General features: G+C 43.3%; 1 pseudogene, 1 gene segment (V, D, J or C) and 1 further gene, besides 6 other annotated features; all 3 read right to left on the bottom strand.

The window, feature by feature from the left end:
• TRB (T cell receptor beta locus) overlaps positions 1-16,214 on the bottom strand; it is a 514,277-nt gene that overhangs the window by 430,640 nt on the left and 67,423 nt on the right.
• Positions 1,348-1,356: a recombination feature (RSS_nonamer).
• Positions 1,357-1,379: a recombination feature (RSS_spacer).
• Positions 1,380-1,386: a recombination feature (RSS_heptamer).
• On the bottom strand, positions 1,387-1,821 carry TRBV6-4 (T cell receptor beta variable 6-4). The segment is given in 2 exon segments: positions 1,387-1,681; positions 1,773-1,821. Coding segments are annotated over 2 exon segments (344 nt in total), but the record flags the coding sequence as incomplete, so codon positions are not given.
• Positions 9,696-9,704: a recombination feature (RSS_nonamer).
• Positions 9,705-9,727: a recombination feature (RSS_spacer).
• Positions 9,728-9,734: a recombination feature (RSS_heptamer).
• On the bottom strand, positions 9,735-10,175 carry TRBV5-2 (T cell receptor beta variable 5-2 (pseudogene); annotated as a pseudogene). Its single transcript is given in 2 exon segments — positions 9,735-10,017; positions 10,127-10,175. Coding segments are annotated over 2 exon segments (332 nt in total), but the record flags the coding sequence as incomplete, so codon positions are not given.

Below are 16,214 nucleotides of genomic sequence, written 5' to 3'. Positions count from 1 at the left end.
AGGACAGCCACAATTTACCCTCTAGAACACAATTCTGATTTTCTCTTACTTTTATATGATGCCTTCTCCACAAATTAGCAACTATAAGGCCATTCCCATCCTGTTCTTCCAAGGGAAAATAATATAAATATATTTTAAAAATCCTAAATCTACAAATGTGCCCTCTTCAGGGGTTTTTTTGATCCTAACCCAAAACTTTAAGAAATAGCTTAGATATTATAATTATATACAGAGAGTTTACCCTCATTCAGCTTGAAGAACACATCATATTTTAAATTGGAAATTCCCAGACTGACAAACTGGCTTGCACCATGCATGGTCCTATGCTTGTTCAACAAGTGAGTGCTCCTTGATGAGCTCATAACAGAGCATCTCAGGCAAAGTTAACTCTAGACCTCTGCCAGGGTACAATGAATCTAGTGTGTTCCTGTTACTGGTTCATTCACCCACTCATCACTCACTCACCTGTCACTCACCCATCCATTCTCTGTGAAATGAATGAGGACTCCCTGCCTGCCAGGCACTGCTGGTGGTAAATGTAACAAGCTCAGCCTTCAGCTTCATGAGTTTAAAATTAAGTGGAGCACAAAAGGAATAAAACAAGTGTTGGAAAAATTGCAATGGTGCTGAACTTTACTAAGAGGCACATGATTCTGTGAGCTTATGAGAGGGAAACTGAAATTTGACCTCAGCTGAGAGTTGAGGGAGTGCTTCCAGCAGGAGAGGCTGATCATGCTGAGATCAGAAGTGCAGGTAGAAGCTGACCACTGCAGAAAGGAAGGCACTAGCCCAGGGTGGAGGAAATGGCCTTTGAGGTCTCTGTGTTGGAAAGGAAGGAGGCACAGAAGAGGCAGCCTCATGGCTGCAGTAGAAAGGCGAGGGGAGGTGGTGTGCAGAGGCCCAGCAAGGCCTTCGGGGGTGACTGCTCAGATGGGAAAGGCGGGCCACAGGTGAGACCACATGAGAGTGGGTACTGGAGGAAACCCTGGAGAGAGGAAGCAACGTGGCCCCCAGAGAGAAACAGGAGTCTAGACAGATTTGAAATACAAATCCTGTTCCATCCTGTGGACCTCGGACTCAGGATGATGAGTAGAAAAGTAAGAGCTGGGAAAGCCCTGGTCCCATCCCAAAAAGATAGCTTGGAAGAAAGACCAGAGAGAAACAAAAGAGACCTCTGAGGCTCTGGGACCAGTCCAGGCCTGGCTGGGACTGCCTGCAGAGGCACCTGGCACAGACTGAGGCTCACACTGCCCGGCACCCATTGGGCTTCCAAGATTCCCAGTGCTGAGAACTCTGCCAAGGACATGGTTGAGTCTGGGGTCGGGGAGGAGGGCAGAGCCTCCCCTGCATTTATGTACAGAGAGGAGATGGCTGTGCAGCACTGTGGAGTCACTGCTGGCACAGAAGTACACAGATGTCTGAGAGGGTACAGCAGACGCCAACGTGAGGGGGAAATCATCTGTGTTTGCTCTGGAGACACTATAACCATCAGGGACTTCTCCTTTGCCAGTGGTACCTGCAGTATTTGAATAATGGATGAGCCTTAGCCCCAGTCCTAGATCTTGTCTATACCAGTACATGGCATTATGTCTCATATCCTGGGTACATCTCAGTGTCATGCTCCGTCCTGCTGCCAGGATCTGAGATGTTGGTGCCTGGGTGATCCCAGCAGTCACTGGACCTACAGAGAAGGAGAACAAAGCCAATGCTGCAGCCTCAATGGGAAGGCTCTGGGTCTTGAAATCTACACATGGGCCCTGCCCAGGACTTACCTGCCCACAGGAGAGAAAAGGCCACACAGCACAGGAGCCTGATGCTCATGGCAGATGCTACAAGACAGAGAGGTCTTCTGGGTCTGTGTGTTGATGAAAGGGGAACAGGGCTGTCAAGGAAGTCATCCTGAGACCTCATTCTCTCTGCCTGGTCCCCAGAACCTTCTTGTCGAGAGAGGCCATGGCCCTTCCCCAGAGGGTCAAATCCAAAATAAATGCACCACTGAAGTTTGGATGGGAAGAATGCTTCTTGATATAAGGCTTTCAAGTTTTTCTTGACTTTTGTGCAAACAGTTTGTAATTCAATATAAATTTTATTCCTGCAATGATATAATTCCTCATTAATATTCTGGTGTTAGTTATCTATGTATTGCTGTAGTCTAGAATCTTAGGAAAAATCCTCTTGTCTCCCTGGTGTTTTTGATTCCTGTGTCCCAAATACTCCTTCAAGTATCCTTTTCCAATTTGCTTAATTGACCATAATCCTGTTAAAGTCCTGTGTCTATATTGGTTTTCTCTGTTATCAGGTTTCCAAATCCCAGGGGCAGGCTCATCAACATTGCAGGAGACGTTTTGCTCTGTTTCTTGTCAATTCACTGACAGATGGGACTCCTGACAAGTCCAGCTGAGCACCTTCAGCTCCATCCAGGAGTCTTGCTTTCTGTTCCTGGGGTGAGACCACAGCAGGCAGAACCACCTCATGCTGCTGACTGCCCTCTCTGTGTGGACAATGGTGGCCACCCAGCGCTGCTGAAGACTTGTGAGCACAAAGGTGTCCTGATGAGTGAGGGACTTGGCGAGAGGGAGCAGACTTCAAGATAAGGAAAAATGCTCTCGTTTTATTTGAGGTGTCATGTCTCATAGGGAATATCCCTTCGTTCAGGATTCCTGCCATTAATTTAGTAATAAATGAAAAGGAGCTCAAAAACTGTATCTTCGGTGTACAGAGCCCTGCATTCAGAAGGATCCCACGCTTGCTTTATCACTCTGCTGTCATGATTTTTAAATTCTTAATAGTGTTTGAACAAAGGATCTGCCAGTAAGTCCTGTCGCTGGTTGTAAATACATGATTTTGTTTCATATTCTGCTCACCTCCCCCTGTGCTGGTTTCCTTTCAGCACAATGCATCACCAAGGTCTGGTCATTCAGCGTCTATGGGGCTTCACTTAGCAGTGAAGAACACAGAAATTAAAGTCACAGCTAAGGGCCACCTGGTGCTGAAAGTCACAGCTGGGATCCAACAAGCCCATTAGTGGGTTTCATGTGCGTGCCCAGGACTCCTGTGGTTCAAGAGACAGGAACACACAGCTCAGCATCCTAGTGCCCAGGACAGGGCCAGAACAGGAAGATGAATTCTAGCTGAAGGCTCAGGATTTATGAGTTAAACACTTGGGGTTAAGGCAAAAAGAATGCTTCTCCCAATGTAACATCATCTTTCAATGAAGTCTCTGTTACCATGGTTTGCTTGACGCCAGCGTTCTCAGTGTGTGAACACAAAACCAGCTGCATGTGTGTCCTATGGGAACTCAAAATAATTTCCTTGGAGATAATTAACTGTTATCAGGATATCATTACTAAACAATTTGAGTTAATGAATGGAGAAGAAAAGAAATGAATGAAAATGAATAAATAAATGTTGTCGAATCAGCTTCTACCAGCTGAAAAGACCTTTTGAGGTTATTTCGGCACAACATCCATCTCCAGATAGAATCGTTCCTACCATGGATCAAGGTAGCTCTCATGGTTTCAATCCCTTCTAAAACCATAAAACCTCCCAGAAACTCTTCCTTGCCTTGATTATTTAGCTATGTATTCAAGAGGATTAATCAGTATGGGTTTTAAATTGACATTAAAAATATTTGTGAACAAAACTACTCTCCAGTGATAGAAGTTACATCATTGGTTTTCTGGGACCAAGATAGGCATTGCAGAGGTGTTCGAGGGAACTTTCTGGAGATATTCTACATTTTAATAGGGGTGGGGATATTTTACATTTTAAGAGGGGTGGGGATTATAAGGGCATATACATATATATTGCTCAAAAATCACTGATCTGTTCATTTAAAATGTATAATGTTTACATTGTATAATTTATATGTCAACAACATTGATTTTTAAATGCCTCAAGAGGGATCCATACTGCATTCTTTAGTTAATTAGTTAATTTCATCAAATAAATCATCAGAGGAAATGTATATTTCCATTTCTGTGACTTCTGAATCCTCAACCTAAGATTTCTAGGTATCATATGTCCGTATCTGCCTTTGCACATTGGCATGGTGAAAGAGGCTATCTGAGATTATCAAAGGAAATGAAAATATTATGTTGGTACAAAAGTATTGCAGTTCTTACCATTAAAAGTAACTAAAAGTAACGGCAAAAACCTCAATTAGTTTTGCACCAACCTAATATCTAGATTTCTGCTACATGCTAGATACTTTATGCTATTTAATTTTGTACACAGCCCTGCAGATGGACAGTAGCAGTCTCATTTCATAGATTAAAACAAACAAACAACAACAACAACAAAAACAAAAAAACAGAAAACAAACTAAGCCAAATCTGTCAAGAACTGGCCTCACGTCTTGAGGAGCTGGTGCTAGAATGGGAGTCAGGCTTGATGTCATGGTACCCATTCATAGTTGTTTCCCACCCCCCCGCCCAGGGTAAACTGATTTCTGTCTATGATGTTATTAGAGCCAGCAGGTCTGAAAGGGACCTAGGAGATAACATTTGAATTTTTGTGAAGATAAGCATCATTTGTTATGAAATAGATTATAGTATATAGCTATAAAATACAGGGCTTTGATAGACCAGGGTTAGAACCCCAGTACTGCATCCTAATTCCTACTTAATTTGGTCAAGTAATTTAAACTATGGGCCAATTCCTCTACCTGTAAAATGAGAATAGCTTTTGCACGTTAAGATGTTTTCGTATAGTTGAATTTCTAATTAATTGAAATTTTCCTAATGAAGGCTTTCTATTTTGTGCATCATAAAATGATAATGAATGATTAGATTAATATTTTCTCTAAGTCTTCTCCATGAAGCAGAATTGAACTGTGAATGTGCATCAGTGTACTCAGTGCTTGCAGTTCTGCAAATGACTGCCAGTCATGTGACAGACTGTTTCATAGAAACAGTCAGATATGACACATTTTATACTTCAGACCTTAAACATGTTAGATGCATACAAAGAAGTATTTTAAACATTTAAAAAGAGGAAAATCCAGCCATATATGACAATGTGGATAAACCCACAGGACATTACACTAAGTGAATAAGCCAGGCACAGAAAGGCAAATACCACATGATTCTGCTTATATGATGGAACGTAAATAATTGAAGTAACGGAAGCAAAGGTGAAGGTAATTTCCAAGGGCTGGGGATTGGAGTAAATGGAGAGTTGCTGTCAATGGTATACAATTTCAGTTAAGGAGGATGAATAAGATCTAGAGATTGCCGTACAACCTTTTGCCCGTAGATTACAATACCGTATTGTACATACAAAAATCTGTTAAAAAGATATATTTCATATTACATATTCCTACCACAGTTAAATTAAATGGCTGTCTAAAATGGGACTAGTTAGCCAAAGAAAGAGAAAAAAGTAAATTTGTATAATTTAGAAATCAGTAAACTATTTTTAATAAAGAAAACAATTTAAAAAATAAATGCAAACCTTAACACTCTAAAAAGCAAGAAACATTTTTTCCACTTAATATTTTTTCTTTTCAATTTTATGTCACAGAATACCTTATACAAAGAAGGATCCTCAAAAAGTTTATTGAGTAAAAGAATAAGATTAATTAATGAATGAATAGCAACTATTTATGCTCATTTTCCTCAAGGTATATTACATCAGTTACAGAAAGTCCACAGTGCAGAAAATTTTATTTCTTTTTCTTTCCTACAGTGAAGGATGAATGTAGATGCTTGACCTGGAAGTTCCTTGGGCTTGTCGGGGAAGAGGTTTTAATGACCACATATGAGACATGATCTTTCCCTCCTGCTAACGGGGATCTGAAATGAGGAAGCCAGAGGAGAGGACACATGTACAGAGCAGGGCGGCGTGCAGAGGTGTTGGAGGAACTGACTATAGCCGGTTACTAAACATGAGAACAGGGACAGCTGCTTCCCCCATATGTATAAACAGGTAAAATCATATTTACCCTACCTGATATCAGTGGGCATTAAAGCAGATCACATGTAGAAGCAGCAGGGAGTGCCTGGGAAAGGCCTGTCAGCTCTGCAGGGCCTGAACCCCTCTGTCTGGCAGCACCCACCTCATGGTCATTTCCTGAGTGGGGCAGGAATGTTTCAGGCATTTCCTTGGGAAACCGGCCTTTCCCAGTAACTCTCCCTGCAGGCCACCCCTGCCTGCTCTACCCATTGTCAGACCCCAGGCTCTGCTGCTTCCTGCACCATTCCTGTCCTACACAACCCTGAAATTAAAAGTGGGGCAGGTGGAACACAGTCTCCACATGCCCATATCCCACCTTATTTTTCTCTGACAACCCCTGTCACTTTCTTGGCACTGACTCCCAGCCCTTGCTGCCCCAGCCTCTTCACCCTCCACTGCCCATGCAGAGGCAAAGACATTCTCTCCTTGATGCAAACTGAGGTCCCTGGTGTGCCTACCTTGCCCTGGGCAGTCCCAGGACCTACTCTGAATTCCAACCGCCTCCTGATGCCAGCACGCAGCCAAGCATTCCCTTCAGCCGTCCTCTCCTGGGTCACCCTCCACCCCTCCCCAGGGTTCCCCACAGCTTTGTGGAGCCACAGCACCTCCAAGTGGCCAAAGTTCCAGTCTCATGGATTCACACCTTCTGACCTGATGAGCTCAGCATTGTCTAAGTCAGGAGCAGAGATGCCCCTACACCAACCCCTGCAACCCACACCCTCTCACACACACACTCTCTATTGCTTTCCCAGAAGGGTTGACTTAGGGTGGAACTTCAAATTCACCCTTGGCCAGTGAAAACAAAAGGGCACATCTTGATTGCACAATAAACTGCTGCTACATCATTGCAATGAGTATCCTAAGATGGAAGAGAGGAGCCAGAATTATACAGGCCACAGGGTGAAACAGTGTGAGGATATCAAGCAGATCCAGACTGGAAACACGACATTCCAGAGCTCCCTTTGAATAATCAGAGCCACACCTTTTCACACTTTGTATTTAGACTTTTTTTTTTTTTTTTTTTTTTTTTTGAGACGCTGTTTTGCTCTGTCACCCAGGCTGGAGTGCAGTGGCGCAATCTCAGCTCACTGCAACCTCCACCTCCTGGGTTCAAGCCATTCTCCTGCCTCAGCCTCCTGAGCAGCTGGGACTACAGGTGCCTGTCACCATGCCCAGCTAATTTTTGTATTTTTAGTAGAGACGGAGTTTCACCATGTTGGCCAGGATGGTCTCGATCTCTCGATCTCGTGATCCACCCGCCTCGGCCTCCCAAAGTGCTGGGATTACAGGTGTAAACCACCGCGTCTGGCCTATATTTAGATTTATTATTCCCAGATTTTAGATAGCACATTCTATAAAGAGGATTTTTCAATTTTACAAATTTATTTCTGAATTTTAAAAAATCTTGAAATAAACGACCCTATGAGCTGTATATAACTTAGGCAGATTCAATTGGGTCTGATATTTCCTTTCTTTACCCAGAAGTACCTAGGAGCTCTGCCAATGACCCAACACCTCTTAGTAATGCCACCCTGAGAAACTATTTCCATGCGGCTGAGTCTCCACAGAAAACACACACAAACACACACACAAACACACACACACACACACACACACACACACACACACACAATATCTTGGGTTTTTTTTTTTTTATTTTACTTTAAGTTCTGGGATACATGTGCAGAACGTGCAGGTTTGTTACATAAGTATACATGTGCCTCGGTGGTTTGCTGTACCCATCAACCTGTCATCTAGGCTTTAAGCCCCGCGTGCATTAGGGATTTGTCCTAATGCTCTCCCTCCCCTTCCCCCAACCCCCCGACAGGCCCCGGTGTGTGATGTTCCCCTCCCTATGTCCATGTGTTCTCATTGTTCAACTCCCACTTATGAATGAGAACATGTGGTGTTTGGTTTTCTGTTCCTGCACACACAATATCTTTTACTCAGAAAGGATGATAAGATTCCATTACTGAGCTTAACTAATTTTTATTTCAGTTTTTTAGGTTGATTTCTGAGAAGCATCTTTGATGATGTTCCAGTCTCATCAAATCTCTAAAAATGTGGCTGTGGAAAGTGTGGTTATGCTGAATAATTTGTTTTTTCAGGATCATGAGACTGGATGAATATTACTACAACACAATTTTATTTGCTCCAAAAGAGTATTTGCAAATTCCAGCCTTAGAGTTAGGATACTTTATAGCATTGGTTATCAATTCTGACTATGAAGACACAATTGCTTAGAATATTGCAGAAATTATATGAAAAACTGACACTGTCTCTAAGAATCTTCATTACATTTTAAGAAAGAGGAGTCCCATTGAAGGGAAGATGGTGATTAATGATATTCCAGGATTCTATATAAGTATGCATTAACTTTTTCATTTTACAAACTTCAGATACTATTAATTATAAACTTGGCTTTTCTTATGAAAATAAAGAAAAGAAAGTGATACAGTCCAGGGCTGGGCGCAGTGACTCATGCCTGTAATCCCAGCACTTGGGAGGCTGAGGCGTGGGGATCACTTGAGGTCAGGAGCTTGAGACTAGCTTGGCCATCATGGTGAAACCGTGTCTCTACTAATAATACAAAACAAATTAGCCATGCATGATGGCATGTGCCTGTAATTCCAGCTACTCTCAAGGCTGAGGCATGAGAATAGCTTGAACCGGGGGGATGGAGGTTGCAGTGAGCCAAGATCATGCCACTGCACTCCAGCCCAGGCAACAGAGTGAGACTCTTGTCTTAAAAAAGTAAATAAATAAATTGATACAGTCCAGTTCCAGGGAATGTCAGGGTAAGAAGCAAAGAGTAAGGCAGATGTGAGACCATCCTTGACAGATGAGCAGGGGCTAGATGTGTCTGGAGAGAACAAAAGTTTCCAGGCCAAGGAAATAGCAGAAATGCAGATGATACCAACGCTGATGAGTTTTAGAAAATGTTCAAAGAACTGTTTAATTACAGAAGGTAATTGAATCTGGGCACTGAGTCTCAGAGAGGAATCCCAGGGATGCAGAATTTTATCTTGGGAGAAAACGGACAGCATTTGCCCCTTTAGGACCAAGACTGACCTGACCTCCTTTGTGTTTTGGGAAGTATTTGACTGTGCCTCGAGCAGGCAAGACTAGATCCAGAAGTCGAGAAAGAAGATGTCAGAACCAACCCCAAGGCCCTCACATCAGGCAGGCTGCTATTTGTGATATCCCCAACTAGGACCAGTCCCCAGGTGATGTCAGTTGCTATAAGACCTTTCTTTGTATTTTCTGGATATCAAAAACTGTGGGAGGAGAAGGGAGCTCATGGTGCACAGATCACCATGTTTCATTACCTTCTGCTCTATCTCTATTTTCAACTATCTTTGATCATTTTCTCTTTCATAGAATTTCCCCAAATCTCACTTTCTTCTCCCTGAATTATATAAAGCAAACCCTATGATTTTCCCTTCCACACTATTATCAAGAATCTTGACCCTGAAATTAAATCTGCTGCCCTGTAAAGAGGGCACCAGCTATTAAATTACAAACACTTCCACTATCCCTATAGTGTACAGCGTTTGGCGAAGAAGGTAGTTTTCACCACCTCCTGAGCAGACCCTCTTGGCCTTGTTATCCCCACTCCTAACTGGCAGAAAACCCCAGGTTTTAGGATCCAGCTTCCTGAAACTGCTTTTCTTTCCCACTACAGTCCTCAAGTTCTCACAGATATGTTAGGGCTGAAGTTCTCCACACTGGGGCAGGGATGTTTGTACACAGAATGTTCTTGGCTCTGCAGGCCTGCATCAAGTTGCTGGCACAGAGATACAGGGCTGAGTCCCCTAGCTCCGTGTTTGACTCAGTAATAGTTATGGACGTGGTGAGCTGAGAATCAATTAGGCAAGTTTCCTTTTGCTCTTTGTAACCTATTACAATATTGTAACAATAACTAGAGGGGCTGACTTGGAGTTCGTAGGTACCAGGACACACAGTTATGCCCAGAGGCAGGGGAGCATCTCAGTGTCACTTGCTGGTCTCTTGTTTTGATCAGGTGTCTTGGAGCTTGGGTGATTCCAGCCTCCACTGGGCCTGAGGAAAAAATAGGTGGAGAATGAACTTGTGCCTCCCCATGGTGAAGTGGGGGACACAGGGGTGGGCAAGCTGAGAATAGGGGTGCTGTCCTGTCCACAGGATTCACCTGCTCCCAGGAAACAAAGCAGCGTCCAGCAGAGGAGTCCGGAGCCCATGGCACAGCGGAGCAGGCAGCACTGCACCTGTGCTCAGGGCTTGGTCCTCCCAGGAAGAGCTGAGTTCTGAGCCTCACTTTTCCTGATAGGAAGGATATCCTGTGATGTCACTGTCCTGTGGTCCTTCCCCTTCAGGCTTCCTTAGGTCCAGTGGTCCCTACCCATGGAACTCCCTCCTCATCCTGCAGAGCAAGGGGATGAGTAAGGGCAGAAGCTTCTGTGATGAGGCAGTTGCTTCTCTGACTGCACTGCCCTCAGCACTCAGACTGCCTCATCGCCCTCTCAGCCTCCTCCCCACCTACTGCTGCAGTGCTCCATTCTGGAACTCACAGACCTGCCCGTCAGCTGAGAGTTAGTGGCCTGTAATTAAATCTTCATGTTCCAGATCTTCCTGGCTGTCCTCTCATCATATGTCTGACACCAAATTCAAACCAAGGTTTCTCCTTATATTTTCCTTTCCTGGACAACAATCCCAGCTCCTCCCCTGTGTGCGCAGTGATGTCAAGTCCCCAAGATTTTGTCCATCTGATCAAGTCCAAAGTGGATCTGTGTTGTCTGTAAATTATTAGGAGTATAGATTCCCCATAAATAATTCTGGGGCTTTATCAGCTCACAGCACAGACCTAACCACTTGGGATTCAGCACCCACAAGGCCACCCTATGAGTCATCCTCTGGGCAGGTTATGTTTATCCCTCCAGATCCATCCTGCCTTCAGAGGTTGATGCCAATGGATTATAGTAACTGCATCTCTTTTTGTGTACTCCAGAGTGAGTTTGTCTTATGAGAGACAATGGCAGGAGAGTAGAGAGAGAGAGGGTAACCAACTGTCCCGGTTTGTGTGTCTCCTGGCTGCCTCCTTGCTGGACTATTTCATATTGATTGCTTTTCTCTACCAAAGGTCACAGCACCCTACAAACATCCTTACCCCAAATGTAAAATGTCAAAAGCCCCGAGATCCACACACTCTCCTACTTATTTTAGGCCAATGTGAATAAGAGCACTCACTATACTATCCCCATAATCCTTTCTCTTCTCTTACTGGGTTCCTTAACCTTGCCACAGTTTTGTAAATTGTCTTTTCATCCCTCCTCAATACCTCCAGGACCATGGTTAATAGACATAGCAATGGAAAAGTGAGTCTTGGAGATCTTATTTTGCTTTAACAAAATAATACAAGTTCTAACATTCTGCAATTAGAAATAATACAATTTCTCACTCTTTGCAAATAGCAGTAACAAAAATTCTATCACATGCAATTAGCATTACCAAAAGAGTTGGGAGAAGCATTAAAATATGCAGTATGAAAATAAATAGTATGACTTGAGTACATGGAATCTAAAGAGGTTCTAGTAGAGAATCATGATGCATGCTCACCTCCTCTTACCTAGAAGTCTGTGGCAGGGTGGATCTACTTCATAAACATAGTGGACACTGTGATGCTTCATTGAGAACCCATTTTCAGACCCATTGCCACATCCCTTTAGAGTTGAGCCCCACACTGGGTTCCCGTCCACAAGAACCATCTTCACTCAAGGTGACACCTTCACACAGTAGAAAAACTGTGTTAATTGCAGAGATGCAAGGTCCAGCATGTCCTAACAAGATGTGCCTTTGGCTTAAGAGGCAAGAAGAGAAGAATTAGGGACTGGAAAAAAGTCTTAAATATTTGAAACAATATTTGAGGAGGGTGAAAGACTGAGCTAGTAAAAGGACCATACTATAATCTCAAAGCAGGGATATAAAGGCAGGTAAGCTTAGTGACTATGTATTTATCATGATAACAGTTTGTGCCGGTGTGACTTACTCTGACAGCATTCAGCTTCTGCCATGCCAAAGAGATCAGTGCATTTATTCTTGTTTATTTTTGTAAATGAAAGGGAAGCCTAAGAGTATCAATATAAAATAATAACTATTTGCAAGCTAGGATTTTTAACACGTAACATCCTCATATCTGCTCTAGAATGAGTAAAGAAATTCTGTAGGGACCCTAGGAAATAGAAAGAATATTTACCAGTGGAGAGGAGATGTCAATAATATCAAAGAACAGGTATGATAGGATAAGAAGCTGTAGGCAGATAGTGGAATATTTAATTTGTGATTTTGGAGATTTAGCATTTTCAAGTGATGACAAAGAAAAAGGGATGGGGCTACTAATGAGGAGGAGTAGAGTAAGTAACAGAATGGAACAACTCATAATTCTGTTATAGGCAAGATATCCTTGAAATGCAAAGAGTAGTCACTGTAAAAGGAAAAATATATATGAATTAAACTTCAAAAAATAGAAAATTTCAGTTCATGAGAAGACTCTATTCAGAAAGTACAAAGGCAGGCCACTCTGGGAGAAGACTAACTCAATATATTTAATGGTCAAAAGGTTTATATAAAAAATACAAACATATTATACGTATTAGTAATATAAGAACAAACAACGTAAGATTTTAAAACAGGCAAATTTAAAAGCAGACACTTGAAAAAAGGAGATAGAAATTACTAATGAAAACAGAAAAAAATGTAAATATAATTACTTATAGAAAAATGCATAGAGATATCACTACAGACCCAATAGAATGATTAAGAAGAAGGTAGAACATGATGGCCAAATAGAAGCCTTCGTTAACTGTTCCTCCAAACAAGAACATCAAACTGAACAACTATCCACACAAAATAGCACCTTCATAAGAACCAAAAATCAACTAAGTGACCACAGTACCTGGTTTTAACTTCATATCACTGAAAGAGGCACTAAAGAGGTAGAAAAGACACTCTTGAATTGCCAATACCATGCCTCCCCCATCCCCTGGCAGTGGCCATATGGCTTGGAGAGACAGTCTGTGCATTTGGGTTAGGGAGAGTGCAGTGACTGTGGGACTTTGTGTTGGAAGTCGTTGCTGTCCTCACACAGTGGATAGCAACAGCAGGCAGGACTCAGCCAGCACTCATGGAAGAACATTTAGACCAGCCCTAGTCAGAGGGGAATCACTTATCCCAGCAGTCAGAACCTGAGTTCTGGCTAGCCTCGCTACCATGGGCTAAAGTGCCTTAGGGTCCTAAATAAACTTGAAACACAGTCCAGGCCACAAGGACTACAATTCCTGGGCAAGTCTTGGTGCTGTGCTGAACTCAGAGTCAGTGGACTTGGGGACACATGACCTAGTGAGATACCAGCTGGGGTGGCCAAGAAATTGCTTATGCCACCCCATCCCCAACCTCAGGCAGCACAGCCCACAGCTCCAGGTGAGACTCCTTTGGATATAGTTTGGATATTTGTCCCCACCCAAATCTCATGTTGAATTGTAATCCCCATGCTGGTGAGGGGTGTTTGTATCACGGGGGCAGATCCCTTATGGCTTGATGCTGTCCTCAGAATAGAGAATGAATTATTGTGAGATCTGGTCATTTAAAAGTATGTTTTAAATGACCTTCCCTCCCTCCCCCACACACTCTCTTTCTCTCTCTTGTTCCTGTTTTCACCATGTAATGTGCCTGCCTCCCCTTTTCTTTCTTCCATGATTGTAAGCTTTTGAGACTACACCAGAAGCAGATGCTGGTGTTATGCCTTCTGTACGGCCTGAAAAACCATGAGCCTATTAAACCATTTTTCTTGTAAATGACCTAGTCTCAGGTATTTCTTTACAGCAATGCAAGAATGGCCTAATTCAGAAAATTGATACAAGAAGTTGGGTATTGTTATAAAAATAACTGAAAATGTGTAAGCAGCTTTGGAACTGGGTAATGGGCAAAAGTTGGAAGAGTTTAGAGGGCTCAGAAGAAGACAGGAATATGATGGAAAGTTTGGAATTTCTGAGAGACTGGTTAAATGGTTGTGACCAAAATGCTGATAGTGATATGGAAAGTGAAGTCCAGGCTGTTGAGGTCTTAGATGGAAATGAGAAACTTATTGGGAACTGGGGCAAAGGTCACACATGTTATGCCTTAGCAAAGAACTTGGGTGCATTTTGCCTCTGCCCTAGGAATCTGTGGAAGTTTGAACTTGCGAGTGATGACCTAGTGTATCTGGTGGAAGAAATTTATAAGCAGCAAAGTGTTGAAGATGTGGCCTGGCTGCTTCTAACAGCCTACACTCAGATGTGAGAGCAAAGAAAACACTGAAAGCTGGAATGTATATTTAAACAGGAAGCAGAGTGTAAAAGTTTGGAAAATTTGCAGCCTAACCATGTGGCAAATAAAGAAAATGTTGTGGGAGAAGAATTCAAGCAGGCTGTGGAGCTACCACTTGTTAGAGATATTAACATAGTTAAAAAAGAGCCAAGTGCTAATAGCAAAGACTTTGGGAAAATTGCCTGAAGACAATTCAGAAATCTTCCAGGCAGTACCTCCCATCACCAGCCCTGAAGCCTAGGAGGAGTGAATAGTTTTGTGTGCCAGGCCCAGGGTCCTGCTGCTCTGCCCAGCCTCAGAACACATCGGCCTGCATCCCAGCTGCTCCAGCTCCAGCTGTGGCTCAAAGGGGCCCAGATACAGCTTGAGTTGCCACTTTGGAGAATGCAAGCTATAGCCTTGGTGGCTTCCATGTGGTGTCAAGCCTACAGGTGTACATAATGCAAGAATCAAGAAAGCTTGGCAGCCTTCATCTAGATTTCAGAGAATTATGGAAAATCTTTGGTGATCAGGCAGAAGCCTGCTGCAAGGGTGGAAACCTTACAGAGAATCTCTATTAGGGAAATGCAGAGAGGAAATTAGAGGTTGGAGGCCCCATACAGAATCCCACTGGGGCATTGCCTAGTGGAGTTTTGGAAAGGGGACAACTGCCCTCCAGACCCCAGATCGATATTGTCACTGACAGCTTGCACCCTGTGCCTGGACAAGCCAAAACACCCAACAACATGTGAAAGCAACCCTGGGGGCTGAACTCTGGAAAGCCACAGACGAAGAACTCCCAAGACCTTGGTAGTCCCCCTTTGCACCAGTGTGTGCCCTGAATGTGGAACATGGAGTCAAGAACTATTGGAGATTTAAGATTTAATGACTTTGGCTGGGTGCAGTGGCTCATGCCTATCATTTCAGCACTTTGGGTGGCCAAGACAGGAAGATCACCTGAGGTCAGGAGTTCGAGAACAGCCTGGCCAACATGGCGAAATCCCATCTCTACTAAAAATATGGAAATTAACCAGGCATGATGGCACGTGCCTGTAATCCCAGCTATTCAGGAGGCTGAGGCAGGAGAATCACTTGAACCCAGGAGGCAGAGGTTTCAGTGAGCTGAGATCGCACCACTGCACTCCAGTCTGGGTGACAGAGCAAGACTCTGTCTCAAAAACAAACAAACAAACAAACAAACAAAAAGATTTAATGACTCTCCTGATGGGCTTCAAAGTTGCATGGCGCCTGTAGCACCTTTCTTTTGCCCAATTTCTCCCTTTTGGAAGAAGAATGTTTACCCCATGCCTATACTCTTGTTGTATCTTAAGAGTAAATATATATATTTTTAATTTTACAGGCTAGTAAGGTGGAAGAGATGTGCTTTGTCTTAAATGAGGCATTAGACTTTGGACTTTTGAGTTAATGCTGGAAAGAGTTAAGACTTTGGGAGACTGTTGGAAAGGCATGATTGTATTTTGCAATGTGAGAAGGACGTGAGATTTGAGAGAGAAAAAAGGCAGAATGACAGAGATTGAATATTTGTCCCCACCCATGTCTCATGTTGAATTGTCATCCCCAGTGATGGAGGTGGGGCCTGGTGGGTGGTATTTGGGTCATGGGGGCAGATCCCTCATGGCTTAGTGCTGTCTTCACGATAGTGAGTGAGTTTTTGCAAGATCTTGTCATTTAAAAGTGTGTGGCAGCTCCCCCTCAGATATGGTTTGGCTCTGTGTCCCCACCCAATTTCACCTTGAATTGTAATAATCATCATGTATCAAGGCGAGGGCCAGGTGGAGATAATTGAGTCATGAGGGTGGTTTTCTCCATACTGTTCTCATGATAGTAAATAAGTCTCAGGAGTTCTGATGATTTTATAAATGGGAGTTCCCTTGTGAAAGCTCTCTTGCCTGCTGCCATGTAAGACATGCCTTTGGTCT

This window comes from Homo sapiens, chromosome 7 (genome assembly GCF_000001405.40).
Source record: "Homo sapiens chromosome 7, GRCh38.p14 Primary Assembly".
NCBI classification, from domain to species: Eukaryota; Metazoa; Chordata; class Mammalia; order Primates; family Hominidae; genus Homo; species Homo sapiens.
This window is presented reverse-complemented; position numbering and strand designations above follow the sequence as displayed.